Genomic DNA, 17,772 nt, shown 5'->3' on the forward strand with positions numbered 1-17,772 from the left:
TTTAGCAAGCTTTATCACCTCTCTCCTGCATTATTGGTTTTTCCTCTACAAGCTCATTACCACTATCTTGCAGATATTTGTACTAGCATGACCCATTAAGAAAACAACAGTCTTTCTTGATTTCATATCCTCTCAGCTCACCCCAATTCTTTCTCTTCTAGAAAATCTTCTTGAACCCACTGTCGCTTCTTGTATCCTTCTCACTTTTTAATTCTCTAGAATTTAGCTTTGATCTCCAACATACTTTTGGAAACATTTAAATCCAGCAGAAATTTTCCTGTCCTAATCTTATACAATCTCTCAACTACATTTGCTCCAACTGACTATTTTCTCCTTGAAGCACTGTTCTGTAGAATATCCCCTGAAATAAAATTGTTTTTTTTTAATGACTAGATTGGGTTATGGCCTTCTGGGAAGTATACCACAGAGGCAAAGTCCCTCATATCAGGAGGTATGTGATAGCCACACAACTTCACTGATGATGTTCACTTTCAGCATTTGGTTAAGGTAGTATTGTCAGGTTTCCCACTGTAAAATCACTGTTTCTCTCTTTCTTGACTCTGTCCTTTGGGAGCAAGTCACTAACTCTGGAGCAACCTCAGCCCAGAAAGGATTGGTAGTGATTAAGTTCCACCAAGGAAGATATTTTTTAAAATCCTGTTTTAAGATGAGGAAATGAGGGTTCAGAGATGTTAAATAATCTCTCTGAACCCCAGTTCAGAGATGTTAAATAATGATGTTGGCTTATTACCTAAATAACTTATAACGATCTAACTTGTATTCATACAGGCAAACTTGCATGGGGGATAAGCTTGATTGAAATGCTTTAAAAAAGAAAACCTTCAGGTAAATGCAAATACATGCTCTCATCAAGACACTTAACCATTTCTGCAGGCCGGTGTATAGGAAAATAAAAATCGAAAGAGATCACAAACATTTGCCATTGTTGTAGAAACCACCACACCTCTAGTTTGGAGAAAATATTTTATTTTTACTTTTAGAGACTGAGTCGTGCTGTGTTGCCCAGGCTAGCGTCGAACTCCAGGGCTCAAGCAATTCTCCTACCTTGGCCTCCTGAGTAGCTGGGACTACAGACGTGTGCCACCATGCCCGGTCAGAGACGAAAAGATTTTAGAGAAGTGGATTTCAACCTGTGATTGGAATTCTGTGATTTGGATCTGGCTTGGAGATGTGTTTCATTGGGCCTACATGGTGTTTAAAATTATTTTCTGATTTGGTTGTCAACTTTTAAAAACTGAGACATTTCACATACCAATTCAGGTTGAATGCTTCTCTTGGAGATTTGAAAGCTCTGGCAGTGTTGGATCTTCATTTATCTCTGACGACGCTCACATGGTGCCAAATCACAGCTTCTTCCTATGAATGAGCCACTCTCTGGTTCTCTTCAATCCCTTATAACCTACCTGGGATGATTTTTGGTTTTCATAGTTGTCTGAGCTCAACACTCCTGCTGAGAGGAATGAGATCACCGTCCTTTCTTGGTTGAGGGGTCACCAACTCAGAAGCGAGAGTTGACGTATTCTTAGAGCTCCTGAAAGTGACACCAGTATCAAAGACTCAAGTTGTAGGAGACAGTCTCCAGCAATGTAAGGCAGAATGTTCTGTAGATTTTCGCCGTCAGGCAACCCAACAGGCTGCCTCAAATATGGTAACCTTCTTGTCACCTGGAGTGTTTAAGCAGAGAAGACGTCATGAATCAGGGCTATCAAAGACAGTATTTGTGTATCACAGAAGCTTGGAGCAAAGACATTGGAAGAAGTGCTTCCAACTCAAATATTATGTAACCCCACTTTCCTGAAGAATTAATAAACTTAATGGAATGGTAATTCTACCCGTAAAGAGGTAATTATACCTAATAACTGATTATATTGAGACAACTGCATTAAAGCACTCAATTTAAAAAAATATGCAAAGACTACAGGGAACTGACTGAAGATGTAAAGCTGCAGGCAATGGTGAGAAATGACCAGAGATGTGGGGAGAAAATTGGTCACAGGAGAAGGTAATGGGAAGACAAGCAGCTCGTGTTTTGTTTCAGATGGAGGGTGAAGAGGGGGTGAGGGAATGATGCAGTTAAAGGGGCAGCATGCTCATCATTAGGCAAACTGCATGCCTGGATTTTATCTTGTGGTCGAATGGCCTTGATTTTCTTGAAATAAAAGGAAAGCCAAGAATAGCATAAACAGTGCACAACCTCACCTAAACACGGCCTAGTGAAGATGGTGTTTTAATCTTTTTGTTCTGGGGTGTTATGTAAACTGGTGATAGTATGGTTTTTAGTTTAGGTGGTTAAATACTTGAGCACTCTTTAGTTTGTTACTGGAGAGATTGTTCTAGCTTTGCCCTGAGTTGCAAAGTTTGGGCAGTCTTACTGTTGCGACCCATATTTATGTTTTTACGGAAAGTTAAGTGATTTGGTATAAGGCTGTTTATGTTTACAGATGTGAAAATTTGCCCGAGGAAGCATTTTTTCTCTGCCTCTGTTTTTATCTATGAAGAGGATTTTGGAGATTATTCTGAAATTAGTTTGAGATGTTGTGTGACCAAATTAAGACAAGTAGAACACACCTATCCATCAGGTGGCTTATTACCCTAACAGCAATAGAGATGTTAACCTCCTTGGTGTCAGTGATGGTTGAGATGAGAAAGGAATGCTTGTAGCAGCTAATTATATCTCCCTGTATTAATTAACATATTAAGTGACAGTTTTGTTCACATCTTGTTTTCGTTAAGGAAAAAAGAAACGAACAGTTTTGTGCAGTTCTCTGAAGATTTGGAATAGGAATCTTGGCTCTTGTCTTTAACAGATTTCAGGTCAAAATAAGAAAAGGAGAGAATGATTCCACTTGTGCTAGGTGGCTTAATAGAAAAAAAATTAATGACTTTCATCTTATTTTGGTTCAGACGCCTACCTGAGATATGATTTGAAATGAGTTTCCTATTCTCGACTCCCCTTGTTGAAGACCTGGAGATTTATCAATATCTCACAACAACAAAGAACGTTGCTCAGTGCAATTTGACTCAGGTGTTGCTTTCTTCTCCAAAGTACCATCACGTCTTCTTAACTTCTATGGATTTAAGCAGGATTTATACTTTAGAAACCCAAGTGTGTATCCAAATCCTCTTGTTATTGTAAAGAACAACAACAAAAAGCCATACTCTCAATAAGCCAGTCTTGTTTTCTATAAACCTCTGAAGAAAGATTTGTACATTCCCCAGCCTGAGCATTAGAAGAAATAAACCCAGTTTGGAGGGCACCCCTCCTAGAAAGCGTTGTCTGAGAACAGACCCTGAGGCCCTGTAACTTTCCAAGCACTAATATGAAGGACTTGGCAAAGTGGCTACAGGGAGTTTGTCACTACTTCTTCTTCTTTAAAGTAGGCAGCAACTTACATTTATGTTTGTCTTTCTGGAACATTGTTGTGTCATGCTGTTATCTAGTCAGAGACATTTTTACTATTTCATATGGGATTTATAACCACAGGGCTTATTTCCCTGCTGATGTTTAGCATTATGTTTAGAATTATGCCCACCTGACACTTCAGGAAATTTCCTCCAGCGAGGTTGTATTTAAGCCAGAAAGGGCCAAGCTGGTTCAGAGCCCACTGTTCAGCTGGTACTTTCTATGTAGTGTAAGACGGACTCTTTGAGTTAAATTGATTTAGCTCTTGCAGAGTTAACTCTACCTTCTGTTTTTTTATTTGAGTTTTTTTTTTTCACTTGGCATCCCTTTCCATTGGCCCCATATTAATATGTGGAAGATGCAGAAAATGTGGCCTGCAAACACTACATGAGTTAATCACATCTGAGATGTCTACAGATAGGCATACTATATGCAGGTATAGTTGGGGTGTTGCTGAGAAGGGTATGTGGGCATGTGGGAAGGATGGGACAGAATCAGACTTGGGTTAAATTCTGGTTCTTCCAATCACTAGTATTATTCATTAACTTCCCATCTTGAAAAATTCTTAGGGTTGTTGTAAGAGACCACTTAAAATAATAGGAGTACATCATAGAAGATGAATGGTAAACATTAGTTTAGTTATGAATAATAGCTATTTTTCTTGGGAAAAATACCAGGTTTAGGGTCCATGTGAATATTATAAATGTAGCTTGGTGTTTAATCACTTAGTTTCACATCTAAGATGCATCAACGGGCCTGAATAATTTTATTCCTTATTTGGCCAGTAATCCTATCTCTTCCAAGATGAGCCTAGATATAAAAATTTAAAAATACTTTTGACTGAATACATGCGTATCTCCATACCTGTGTGACAAAGGAGTCCATAAAAAGTACTGTATTATGCCAAGGCCCTTTGATCCTATTCAAATATCAAGATCTAAGTTTCAGCTATTTCAAAGGTCTGATAATGTCCACCTTTATTCCCAACACAGAAATGACTCTTTATGGAACTCCTGACCCTAGGTGGAACATTTCTGCTGCTGCTCCCAGGAACCGCGCATCCCTTTCATACTCAGTGTGAACTGTCACTGATTATATCAAGAGCCCACCCCTTCATGTAGATGATAGAAAATGCACTGGCTTTTACTCAGCTGCTAATGAGTAATTGCTCTGTGGTCAGCCACAAATGTGGCCAGCCACAGCAGGGCTATTGTGAGAAGGCACACACTTTTATCCTTCAGGACCTCATGATGCTGCCATCAGATTGGGCCAAGAAGAGGCTGGCTGTTGAGCTGGCACTTTGCGAGCAGGAGATATATATATCCAAGACTTGATACTCAGCATGGTTGAGTAGCATTATTAAAAGACATGGCCACTGAGTGTTCTGGATGGTTGGCCCATCTCTCTTCAGTAGCAAAGTTGACTTTGGAAACCAATTTAGGTCCTCAAAGGGCTGCTTGGTGCATATAGAATCAAAGTAATTAGATCAATAAGTTTCGAGGATTATTTTTTCCTTTTAAAAATTATACAAGCAGGCCGGGCGCGGTGGCTTATGTCTGTAATCCCAGCACTTTGGGAGACCGAGGCGGGCGGATCACGAGGTCAGGAGATCAAGACCATCCTGGCTAACACGGTGAAACCCCGTTTCTACTAAAAATACAAAAAATTAGCCGGGTGTGATGGCGGGCGCCTGTAGTCCCAGCTACTCCGGAGGCTGAGGCAGGAGAATGGCGTGAACCTGGGAGGCGGAGCTTGCAGTGAGCCGAGATCATGCCACTGCACTCCAGCCTAGGTGACAGAGTGAGACTCCGTCTCAAAAAAAAAAAAAAAAAAATTATACAAGCAATAAATTTTCATTGCAGAAAGATTAGAAAACATGATACATAGTAAGGGTAAAAAGTCACACCTAGCATTTAGGCATAAGCATTGTTAATATTTTGGCACATCCTTCCATACTTTTCCATGCATCCTTATTGAGAGTTGCATATTCTAGGGCTTGAGAATAATTCATTATTTTAGGAACTTAGGGCCTTGCAAGAGCAATTGTTATTCAGATTTTATTTTGAGCAGGAGAAAGCAGAAAACCCTGTTCCTGTAAAACCAGGAGTGGGTGGGCAGGGGTGGGCATGTGACCCAGTCTCAGCAAATCAGATAATTACAACCCCTTGGATACAATGATTGGTCTGGAGTGTCTGGAGTAGGCATGTGAACCACACAGGGCTAGCAAGTTTTTTCCTGGAATTGATGAACAGTAGGAGAAAAAGTCCCTCTTTATGCTGAGATAGCTCAATGGGGAAGAGAGGCAAGAAGCCTGATGTCTGCTTGACTGCCACGTGGCAGAGAGCGTGCCTGAGAGAAAGGCCCAGCAGGGCAGAGATAGACGGGAAGCGGGAAGGGGAGGGGGCGGGGGGGGGGTGGGAGAGAGAGAGAGAGAGAGAGAGAGAGAGAGAGAGAGAGAGAGAGAGAGAGAGAGAGAGAGAGAGAGAGAGAGAGAGAGAGAGAGAGAGAGAGAGAGAACGAGAACAGTTGGCATTGTTTGAGCCCTTGGATCCATCCATCCTTAAGATTCCCAGTTATGTTAGCCAACTAAACTTCACTTTCGCTTAATCTAGTTTAAGTTGGTTTATGCCAAATATAACCAAGAGTTCTGGCTCAACCACTTCCCTAGCTCCTTGGGAATAGGGCCCTGTCTAGCCTGGTCTCTGAGCACACTGCCTGCCCCATGGCCTGCGTGACTCACCGAGTTATCTTCTTCTTGGTGCTCAGGACGTGCTTTTCTCCCTTTCATTCTGCCTTAACAATTTCAGCTTCCAGCTCTGCATTGGTGACAATGGGCTAGTCTCTTCTTGGGAAAAGAAGAGCCCAAAACACCATTTGGCAACCAGCTTAAGGGTGGGACCTGTGACTTCCCTCACAGCTGATGGGGTCAGATGGGTGGGCAGGCCCAGTTTTGATTAATATGCCTATAAAGTGGAATTCTGGGACTGACCTCCACTCAACTCAAGCAACACAAAGATAATTGACCTTTGGAAACTGCCTCTGGCAGTCTTTTTATTATTTTTATAGGAAGTCCTGCAAACCAATTACATCTCACAATGGGCCTTTTATGGTGCTATTAGTTTAATGCAGCTTTCCGAGAAATTAGCCCTCAGGGAGCCTGAAATTCTAGAGGAAAAAAAAGCCCTCCATGGACTTATTTGACTTTTGGATTAGCAGGAAAAATGGATTGGTAGTGCAGTATTCCCTATAGTAACTTTTGGCAGTTTGAGCCATCTAACCAAGGTACCAAATTCCCATTTTGGGACCCTGGTGTCTGCCCCAAGCAAAAGGAAAAAATAAATTTGAAAAAGAATAAGCTGTCTCTTTAAAGAATTCAGTCTACAAATCAAAGAGGGTTTATTCCCCTCTTAGTCTGAGGTTAAAGAAGAATGGGAGTGAGAAAATTGAAATAGCACTTCTGTTTGAAGGTCTGGGTTTTTCTGAATGTGAAATTACAGGTGTCTGTCTCAGATCATCACGTTGGCTTTGGTACCTCTCACCCAGCCACAGTTATTTGCAGAGTGATGGCTCTGGGGCCTTTGTCACAGGGTCAGGCTGTGGGTCTGGGCTGGAGAGAGAGGAGATATCATCTTAGAAATGTCACGCTGCCCTCACCTAGGGAGCAAGTGCATGGGGTTTCAGGCAGGGCAGAATGGGGGAAGAGAGAGAAGCTAGAAGGTGACAGGAGGACTAAGGACCCTGCCATTTCCTGGAGTCTGACGCCCAGGTTGGTTGTCCAGCTCATCCCTAGGACAGGGAAGGGAACACAGAGCAGGTCCGTGAGGGGCATGGACATGGTATGCCCATGGGAGCTGCTTCCTCCTTAGCCCAGCCCTGACCCTGGAAACCCCAGCCCCACCTCCTCTGTGTCATGTGGTCATCGGCCAGGTACACTGGTGAGCTCACAGTCCTTCTGTCCCCTTTGTCACCTTGAGGATTTTAACCGTTTTCTTACACTCTTTCCCTCCCAGTTTCTGTTTGCTCTGTTCTGACCTCAGCAGTTCCTGGGCTCAGCCAACGAGGGGTTTTTCTGCAAGCACCCAAGACTGCCTGCCTGTGGGCTTCCTCTGGCTGCAGGGGGACCCAGTTTCGCCTGAGCAGGTGGGGCAGGCTGAAATGCCTGGAGTTATCACATGTGGAGCATCCCTCAGCTATTAATGGGAAGGAGGTAGGAGTAACTACCCCAGCTCCCTGACTCCTCTGGTGGGACAACCCTGAAATATGTTCTACGTGGTCTCCCACAGTTCCCCAGTGTGATGGAGTCTCAGTTGTCCCAAATGGTGAACTTCTTATCATACACCCTGTATTTGCCTCCTTCCTTTCCTTGTCTTAGTTCCCCATCTCCTACTGCTGCTTTGCAGGATCACCTCCCAAAGGAACCACCGACCCCCAAACCTTATCTCAGAGCCTGCTTCGGGGGCCACAAGCTGAGCCAGACCTCACACCTTGTTTCCTGGTTCTGCCCTGAGTGTCCCACCTGGGGTCTGGGCCCAATGTGGCTTGTCTTGCACTGTCATGGGCTCTTTTTGGCTCCCTTCTTTACCTTGGATTTGTATGACTTCTTGGGTCATGTCTGATTCAGGCTCCTCCAGGAAATGACCTGGTTGGACTCCCAGGACCCTCCCCTGGCCCATGTAGCTGGAATTCTTGCTGATTTGGGCCCAGCCCTTGCATGGAAGGAATGGAATCTCATTTTTAAGGGAGACATGAATAGAAAGAAAAAAAAAATTTCCCTCTTGAGGCGAAGAGAATATGGAAAGGGCCACATCTTAGGCAGAATATATAGGGCTGTTTCTCTGGAGGATACTGGGACTGGTGAGCTAGGTTCTCCACTTGCTGGGGCTGCTGTGCATTCTTTTTCTGGATCTCTGGTCCTGCTACTAGAAATGGCCAATGGACTGGATTTATTCGGAAGTGGGGCGGGGCTCCCTCTTCTTCATCTCATAACTGTTCCCTGTGGATGCAGTGGTGTCTTCCTTAAGGAGAGGAAAGCTCAGGCTGCAATGACAGCTTGTGCGATGTTGGGCAAGTGGTTTAATCTCACTATAGCTCAGTGTTCTCATCTGAAAAATGAGGCTCATCGTGTAGCACCTCATAGCATAGTTACGAGGAATAAATAAGAAAATGTGATGAAGTGCTTAACAGAATGCCTGGCACGTGGTAATAGCACCACAAACGCTAGCTGTTATTAACCTGGCATGCACTACCTTGTTTTGTTCATTATCTTGCCATAGTTTATCTCCCTGCAGGCAGGAGGCACAAGGTAGCATCTTTCTTTCTCTTGGTGTCTATAGTATGTTCGTATAGCAAGTGCTTAAAAAGATACGTCAGTAGAGAAATATCAGGCAGGTTAACATCCCAGCTGTCTGGTCCTTGCTCCTCCTTCTTGACCTTTCAGGCATGCCAAAACTTGGTCCATTGCAGAATAATTCCAGTTTCAGAGAAGCCATGCTAGTACTAGAGAGTTGTTAAAATACCCACCTATGGTGTGAGGCCACCTGGGGGTCAGGAGGCACGTGAAGTTCCAACTATGGCCAGGTAGTCAGTCCCATCCCTGCATTCCTAAGGGATGCAGCCCCGTTATGCACCAAGCATTTTGCTGGCAGCTTCCCCCACCACCCCTGCCCCTTGATCATACTTAAATTCTAAGACAGCATAGGGGCTGGTCCTCCAGGGAAGACCAGGGCTGCAGTGGGGGTATTTTATGCTCCAGAGGTGCAAAAGTATTTAAGCTGAACAAGTCACTTAAATGACAGCATTATCTGCTGCTTCCCCTTCAGTGTTCCAGACAGATAAAGATAAAACAGCCGAGGTAATTGTGGAGATGGAGTGTCGCTGGCAAATGATCTGAGCACAAAGACCATTTCCAGAGATAGATGGAGTGGAGGCTCCAGTAATTTTTCTTGAATCATGTTTAAAGTGGCACAGTCTGAAAACCAATTCGGCAGGAGTGCTGCTTGGAGGGTCCAGGCCCACCAGAACTTTGAAAATATTACAGTCCAGTGAAGCTTACAGGTGACAAAGAAAGGAAGTTATTCCTCAAATGACTGGCATAGCAGTGGTTTGGTGAGGGGAGATTGAGGGTCACCCCCTGAGGAATTCCACCCACACAGCACTGGGTGCTCGAATCAGGCAAAACTGCCGTCTTGGCCTGACTTGATTCCAGGGCCTGGGGATGGCATTGCACAGATACAGGCGGGATCGGGTGAGTTCCCCGGGAGACCTCTTTGGTTTGCTCACTGGCATCAAGGCAATGGATTCTAGGAACCTGGTACTTTGGAGTTTGAATATGCCGGCAGTGTCCTTGGGCCCAGTGCCAGGTTTGTGGTGGGAGAAAAAGTGGTTGGGGACTTCCCTTAAGTCACTCTCAACCTGCTAATGAAGGAAGTAATGGGCTCTGAAGGTAAAATGACAGCATTTTACAGAACACTCTGTAGCTATTGAAAACCATGTTGTAGAAAAACTAATGACTCGGGAGAAGGTTCATGATATATTGCTAAGGGAAAAAAGTGGCTACAAAACAGCATGCGAGGATGCTCCCAGTTTTTGTTTAAAAAAGTATTTATACACTCACATATGTAAAGAAAAAAATAACTGAAAAGAGAGAAATATATATTTTTAGATTTTCATCTTTGACACTTTCTACATTTTCCAAATTTTCTACAGTAGGCATGTATTACTTTTGTAATGAGAAGAAAAAGGTATTAAAATCATATCTTTCATTCATTTGGTATTTATAATTTTCAAGATTTTTAATATATAGACTTTCATTTGATCCTCATAACAGTTCTGTGAATTGGGTAGGACAATTATTCCAATTCTACAGATGAGGAAATTGAGGTTCAGAGCAAATTAGGGATTTGAATAATGTGTTGCCTGGCTTGTAAGATACCGAGCTGGGGCCAGAACCCAAATCTTGTGTATTCTAGGTTAGTGTTCTTTCCATTGCATATTAGGGGTATTGAGATAAACCAATCAACATAATCTACTATCTCATAATTGAGGTCCTAACTGTGTCACTTCCCCCAGGAACACTTGCCCTGATCCCCTTCTTGAGACCAGCTTCCTTGTTATGTGCTCTCTGACACATAGTAGGTTCACAATAGACAATGGCTATCATTGTCAGGAACACGCAAGCAGTGAGTCTCAGGGTTGAGGGGGAGTAGATTTAAAATCTCAAAATAACTGGCTTTGAGAACTGGGTTCGTTTATTTCTGTGTTGTGCAATAAGGCTAGTTACTGGCTATTTAAATTAGAATTTAAGCTGAAAAAATTAAGTAAACATTTGGTTCTTCCATCATCTTAAATCCATTCTAAGTGCTTGCCAGCCATGTGTGGCTATACCATGTTGGACAGCGCAGGCATAGAACATTCCCTTCACCACAGAAAGGTCCGAGCAGGGCTGTCTGGATTGTTTCTCTCTCTTTATGATTACAGATGTATTTTTTCGGCATTATTGGATTCACGTTTGTTCCCTGCACTAGAATATAAAGTTATGAGGGCAAGGATTGTGTCTGTTTTCCTCCCTATCCACAACACTCAGCCCAGTCTTAACACATGGCAATTGCTTTATAAATATCCATCTGATGTTTCCCACTGCTTTAGGATAAAGTCCGTATGCTTTAGTGTGGCTTCCTAGGCCCTGCATAAAGTGGCCTGGCCCCTTCACTAAGTTCTCCCCAGACATTCTTCCTTTATCTCCAACAATTCTATTGCCCCACATTTTCGTCAGTTCCTTGGCTACTCCTTTCCCTCTTTCCGCAGAGCCTTCACACATGCTGTTCCATCTGCTTGTAGCACCCTTCCTCCACCAAAACTTCTGGCTGACTCTTTTTCATCCTTTATGTCTAAGTGGTAAATGGTAAACCTCCCTCCCTCCAGGCAGTCTTCCCTGGCTCCCCAAGTCTGGGTTAGGTGCTTCTCCTACATGCTTTCATAGCACTCTGTACTTCTCTGACCCGGTCCTCCGGGCCCACACTTAGCATACTGTAATGTAATGGCTTCTTAAGGAAGGTCTTTATCTCTCCAGCTAGACTGTGAACTCCCTGAGGCAGAGGCTGTGTCTTTTTTACTCATTGCTGGATCTCCTTGTGCTAGATCAGTGCCTGGCATAAAGTGGTTAATGGGTCAAAAATGTTTATTGGGAACCCACTATGTGCCAAGACTATGCCTGGCACAGGGAGTAAATTAGTGGAGAAAAGAGACATGATCCCCCCAGTCTGAGGGGTTTCCTTAACCTTCAGTGCCTCACAGAATGTTCGTTGAATGAATAAAGGACAGAAGCTGTGTCTGATGTGATTGGCCTATTTCAGGAGGCGGTGATTTCTCTGACCCTGAAATGAAGTCAGGGAAGATATCAGAAGTGTCTCTGCATTGACAGACTTTAGCCACTAGGGTAGTGGTTTCCATGACAGTGTGTGAGGGACAATGGGGAGAGACATCTCCTAGGGAATGCGTGTTTAAATGACTTGGGAATCACTTTGAGATTTTAAATCTACCCATTCCCCATTGGCCCAGAATCACTGCTAGTGTGTTCCTGATAAAATGGTACACATTGTTCATTGTACACCTAGTATGTGTCAGGCTGTGTTCTCATGCTTTACACACATGAAACTCATCTTACCCTCTTAATCACCCTATAAGGGTGATGTAATTATCATCCCCATTTTACAGATGAGGACACAGAGAGGTAAAGCAACTTGCCCAAAGTCTCCCAGCTAATGCGTGGTGGAACCAGGATTTGAGCCCAAGCAGTCTGTCTTCCAATGTGTGTTCTTAGTCACTGAGCTAAAGTCTGCGGAGAGAGTGCGTATCTCAGGTGGGCTGGGGCAGAAAAAAAATTGAGAACCACTTGAGTAGAGAGTTGGATGAACTTGGTGATTCCCTCCACCTCTGAGGCTCATGTTCTTGAGTTTAATTAGCTGGGGAGACATGACTGCTACCCATGAAATCACTCAAGAATGTTCCAAAGTAGGATACAATCCAGTGCTACATTTGGTGGCCCAGACTATATGTGACTCTGGGTAGGGAGAGACCAGGGTAGATGGAAGGACAGGGGGAAGGGTGAATACTCTGGGGCAGGCAGGGGCAGCATGAGGACCAGATATAAGGTAGGTCCACAGCTTGGGGATTGGGCCCAAATAAAGTTTCTCTTTGAGTTCTAGAAGAGGCTTGAGCCTGTCATCATTAATTTGTCATGGAGCGATCGATCACCCACTGTATTCCAGGCACTGAGCTGGGTGCTAAGTGTGTTAAAAGCAGAGCATAGCCAATCCCTCTCCTCATGGAGTTCACAGTCTTCTGAGGGAAACAGACAGCAGTCAGATAATTACACAAATGAGTAAGTAACCACAAAGGGCAATAAAGGATGGAATGGAAATAAACATAGTTCTTTGGGAACACATAACAAAGGAATCTTACCTGGGCTTGCTGTGGGTTGGGGAGAGGAGGTCAGGGAAAGCCTCTCTTCCAAGTTAAGCTGAGATATGAGTGATGGGTTGGTGTTACCTGGTTAAAGATGGCCAAAGGGTTTCCAGGTTGGGGGACAAGCATGTGCAAAGGTCCTGTGGTAGGAAAGAGCACAAAGAATTCTGGGGAGTAAAAGAAGGTCAGGATGGCTAGAAAGTGGAGCGAAGCAGGAAAGCAGGCAGAGCTGGAGAGGGAGCCTGGGGCCAGACCATGCAGAGCCTGAATGGTGGGGGACCATACATCTCAGTTTGCCAAGGACAGTCCTGGTTTACTCTTGTTTCCCTAGCAAACTAGGAATAGTGTCTTGGTTTGGATGAAAGAATGTATGGCCACCTTCTTAGGTCACATTAAGGATTTAGTTCTTCTGGAAAACGGGAAGTGGCTACAGGGTTTTTTAGCAGATGACATTCTCCCCCGACAGAATCAGATTCAGGTTTCCTTGGCAACTCTGGCTGCAGTGAGGAGGGTGGATTGGAGGGGTCGAGCTTGCATGTGATTGCTAATGATAAAAAAAAGTCATTAGCAGTAGAGAGAGTTACTCCCTTCCACTCCACCTTCTCAAAGAAAGTTCCAGAACTCAGGGTTAGAAGAGGACCGCTCTCCAGCCATGAGTTGGCTGGGTTTAGATCTCCCTGGTGTCTCTTTGCCAGAGGACTATGTGACATGCAGTCTCAGGGTGAGTGGAGCCCTGGCACGATTTCCCAGGAGACCAGGGCCTTTATACCAGTTCTGGAAAAAACACACATAGGTCTCACCAAAATGTCACCATAGGCCAGCTAGCATATGGCTGTCCCTCAAAGGCACCAGCTGTAGGGATCTGACACCATCCCAGGGCTGCCTTATTGATATTGTTGATGGGCCAGGACATGGCAGTGAGCACTCATTTTCCTAGAGGCTTCTTAGATTTCAGGTAAGTATCAGAGTTTGAGAGGCTGTTCAAAAAACCTACCCTGAGAGGTCGTTCGTTCTCTCTTGTTCTCGTTCTCTCTCTCTCTCCCTCCCCCCTCCCCTGCCCTCCCTCTCTCTCCACCCTCCCCATCTCTGTCCCCTGCCTCTCTGTCTCTCTTTCTGGAGCTTTTACTTTGAGTCTATGTTAAAGCACTATTACCCCACCCACTAGCCTATTAAAAGTGCCTGGGCTTGGCTGCTTTTTCAAAGCATCTTGGTTCTTTTCTCTTGCTTGGTGAAATGAAAACAGAGTTATTCTAGTGGAACATTTTACATTAGATGCAATCTAAGAAAATGGCTTATAGCACCGAGGACTCCTTTGGAAGCAGCCAGGGCTTGGAGTGGGGAGAGACAAACGGGACAGGGGGAGCAAGTTGAGCAGAGTGCACTCTGACAGAGCACGGGGCAGGGAGGGTGAGGCCGAGCCTCTGAATGTCCCCAGGAGCTTGGGTGGCACCAGGATGAGTCACACAAATTGATGCCTCTTTTTAGTGCTTTTATTCCCCAGGATTTAATTTTTTTTTTTTTAGTCCAAAATTGTGTAGCTCTTTAACAAGGAGCCTGTCTCTGTTCACCTCCTTTTTCTGCCCCCATCCTTCCTGCTCTTAATGTTTTTTTCTTTTCTTCATGTTTTTACTGCTTTCCTAACCCCAGCCTGAGATTCCATTTTCTCTGACACCCACCTACCATGCATTTTTGGGTTGTAAATGAACCATCTAGCAGCAAGAAACAAAGGTTTCTAGCTAATCTCCCTGTTAATGCTGGGGCTCAGAGGCCTGGGAGTTTTCAGCTCGGCCTGTCTCTAATAGGAAATCACGGGCATGACCAGCTCTGAACAACAACTGAGGCCCCTGGAGTCATTGTGCAGTTCTATTCCCAACAGAACCAGAGTTACTGACTCTGCCTTATATAAGTTAGCACCAAACTGAGCCTCTGAGTCCCTCTCCTTAAATCTTCCTAATTCACAGGAGAGGCCAAAGTTCAGAGAAATGACATGGGGGAGATGAATTCACACACTCTGGGTGCCAGATTCCCAGTCCAGTGCTCCTTTTTTTTTTTTTTTTTTTTTTTGAGACGGAGTCTCGCTCTGTCGCCCAGGCCGGACTGCGGACTGCAGTGGCGCAATCTCGGCTCACTGCCAGCTCCGCTTCCCGGGTTCACGCCGTTCTCCTGCCTCAGCCTCCCGAGTAGCTGGGACTACAGGCGCCCGCCACCGCGCCCGGCTAATTTTTTGTATTTTTAGTAGAGACGGGGTTTCACCTTGTTAGCCAGGATGGTCTCGATCTCCTGACCTCATGATCCACCCGCCTCGGCCTCCCAAAGTGCTGGGATTACAGGCGTGAGCCACCGCGCCCGGCCTCCTTTTTTTTTTTTTTTTTTAGATCTCCCTGGGGTCTGATTGCCAGGGAATTATGCAATGTCCAGTCTCAGGGTGAGTGGAGCCCTAGCATGATTTCCAAGAAGACCAAGGCCTTCATAGCTGGAAAAAACACACATAAATCTCCCCACATGTCACTCATAGGCCAGTGAGAACACGACTGAGAACTTCTCATCAGGGCCATTCATCTAAGGCACCAGCTGTGGGGATATGATGCCATCTCTCTTGATGAAGACAGGAGCTCAGAGGGCATAATCATCTTGACTTCTTCTTGTGGCATCATTCTAAGGACTTCAGGGGACCCTATGGGACCCTGCAGGACTCGTTCTGATTGTCTTCTCACAAAATAATGGACCCATGGAGAGAGTAAGCGTTTAGCTGGGAAAGTAGCTAAGTATGTGGCTCTAGGCAAAATGTTGCAGATGCCCATGGGGCCAGGCAAACCATGTACATGAGGGATAGCAATGGGGAATGGTGGGGACTGTGGCAAACTGAACACCGCCTGCCTCAACTAAAAGAGGCATGCACTACTGAGTACCAGCCTATTTGTTGTTGACACAGAGGAAGGAGGGCCCAGGGTAACCTGATTTGTGACTTTTCAGGAGGGACCAGAAGTCTGGACTTCTTAAAATATAAAATCTGATTTAAAAAATATTGGCCCTATTAAAATATGAAACCTTGAGTTGGTCAGACCCAATTTCTTGTGTGACTTGCACTCAGACTGTTCTAGAACTCAATGCAGTTTCTGCTCTGGACACCTGGACGAATCTGGGCAAGGTGATAGGGACAGGGAGCAGGGGCGAAGGATGCTAAGTGCTGACACGCACTCAGCCCATTCCCTGGTGCTTCCTCTTCTGCCTCACCCCTTCAACAACTTTCCCATAAAGGAAAAAAAATTATACCGGAAGAATGCTGTGGGGTTTCTGTTGTCAGAGTAGAGGGGTACGTTTAATGCTGTTGGAATTAAATCCATCCTACTCAGCTAGCAAAGGGCTAGGAGGCATCATGATGTAGGACCAGACACAGGATTAAAAAAAAGCTACTCATGCAACCAGAAAAAATGAACAAGCAACCCCACTAAAAAGTGGGCAAAGGATTGAAGAGACATTTTTCAAAAGAAGATCTATAAGTGGCCAACAAATATATGAAAAAAATGCTCATATCACTAATCACAGAAATGCAAATAAAAAACACAATGAGATACTATCTCACACCAGTCAGAATGTCTATTATTAAAAAGTCAAAAAAACCAAACAAACCAGATGTTGGTAAGAATATGGAGAATAGGGAACGTTTATACACTGTTGGTGGGAAGGTAAATTAGTTCAACTCTTATGGAAAATAGTAGGGAGATTTCTCAAAGAACTAACAGTAGAACTACCATGAGATCCAGCAGTCCCACTACTGGGTATCTACCTAAGGGAAAATAAATCATTATATCAAAAACGTACCTGCATTCGTATGTTTAACACAGCACAACTCACAATAGCAAAGTCATGGAATCAACCTGTGTTCATCAATGGAGGACTGGATTTAAAATGTGGTATATGTACATCATAGAATGCTATACAGCCATATGAAAGAATGAAATCATGTCTTTTGTAGCAACTTGAATGGAATAGAGGCCATTATCCTAAGTGTTCTCATTTATAAGTGGGAGCTAAACAATAGGTACACATGGACATATAGAGTAGAATAGTAGACACTGGAGACTCCAAAAGGTGGGAAGGTGGTGGGAGCGGTGAGGGATGAAATGCTACCTATTGGGTACAATGTGCACTATTTGGGTGACAGGTACCCTGAAAGCCCTGAGTTCACCACTATGCAATATATCCACCTAACACAAGTGCACTTGTATCACTTAAATCTATTTTTTAAAAATGAAAAACATAGAAAAAAGAAAAAGGCAAAAGCAATATGAGAAAAGTAGTTACTGCTTATTGAGTGCTTACTATATGCCAGGCATTATATATTAGGTCATTTAAGCCTGGCAATGACCATATGGTATAGATTTTTTTTTTCTTTTTTGAGACAGGGTCTGATATGGTTAGGCTTTGTGTCCCCACCCAAATCTCATCTTGAATTATAATCCCCATGTGTCAAGAGAGAGACCAGGTGAAGGTAATTGAATCATGGGGGCAGTTTCTCCCATGTGTTCTCATGACAGTGAGCTCTTATGAGATCTGATGGTTTTATAAGGGGCTCTTCTCCCTTTGCTGGGCACTTCTCCTTACTGCTGCCTTGTGAAGAAGGTGCCTTGCTTCCCCTTCACCTTCCACCGTGATTGTAAGTTTCTGAGGCCTCCCCAGCCATGCTGAACTGTGAGTCAATTAAACCTCTTCCCTTTATAAATTACCCAGTCTCAGGCAGTTCTTTATAAAGTATGAAAATGGACTAATACAGGGTCTCACTCTGTCACTCACGCTGGAGTGTAGTGGCTCAATCATGGCTCACTGCAGCCTCAACTTCCCAGGCTCAAGTGATTCTCTTGTCTCAGCCTCCCAAGTAGCTGGGA

The 17,772-nt window shown here is 44.2% G+C and overlaps 1 long non-coding RNA gene across 1 annotated transcript, besides 2 other annotated features; it reads right to left on the bottom strand.

The window, feature by feature from the left end:
- Nucleotides 1-970: 970 nt before the first annotated feature.
- LINC02620 (long intergenic non-protein coding RNA 2620) lies at nt 971-6,307 on the bottom strand. The gene is made up of 3 exons (NR_120624.1): nt 6,165-6,307; nt 2,934-3,089; nt 971-1,685 (listed from the first exon to the last, which is right to left on the bottom strand). It is a non-coding gene; the product is annotated as a long intergenic non-protein coding RNA 2620 (long non-coding RNA).
- Nucleotides 6,891-7,392: an enhancer, noted in NCBI's record as "H3K27ac hESC enhancer chr10:106240617-106241118 (GRCh37/hg19 assembly coordinates)". NCBI's record gives its function as "activates a minimal SCP1, AML or CMV promoter by ChIP-STARR-seq in primed H9 embryonic stem cells {active_cell/tissue: H9 hESC(primed)}" and the evidence as "EXISTENCE:reporter gene assay evidence [ECO:0000049][PMID:30033119]".
- Nucleotides 7,393-7,892: an enhancer, noted in NCBI's record as "H3K27ac hESC enhancer chr10:106241119-106241618 (GRCh37/hg19 assembly coordinates)". NCBI's record gives its function as "activates a minimal SCP1, AML or CMV promoter by ChIP-STARR-seq in primed H9 embryonic stem cells {active_cell/tissue: H9 hESC(primed)}" and the evidence as "EXISTENCE:reporter gene assay evidence [ECO:0000049][PMID:30033119]".

The sequence above is a fragment of the Homo sapiens genome, chromosome 10, assembly GCF_000001405.40.
Source record: "Homo sapiens chromosome 10, GRCh38.p14 Primary Assembly".
NCBI lineage: Eukaryota > Metazoa > Chordata > Mammalia > Primates > Hominidae > Homo > Homo sapiens.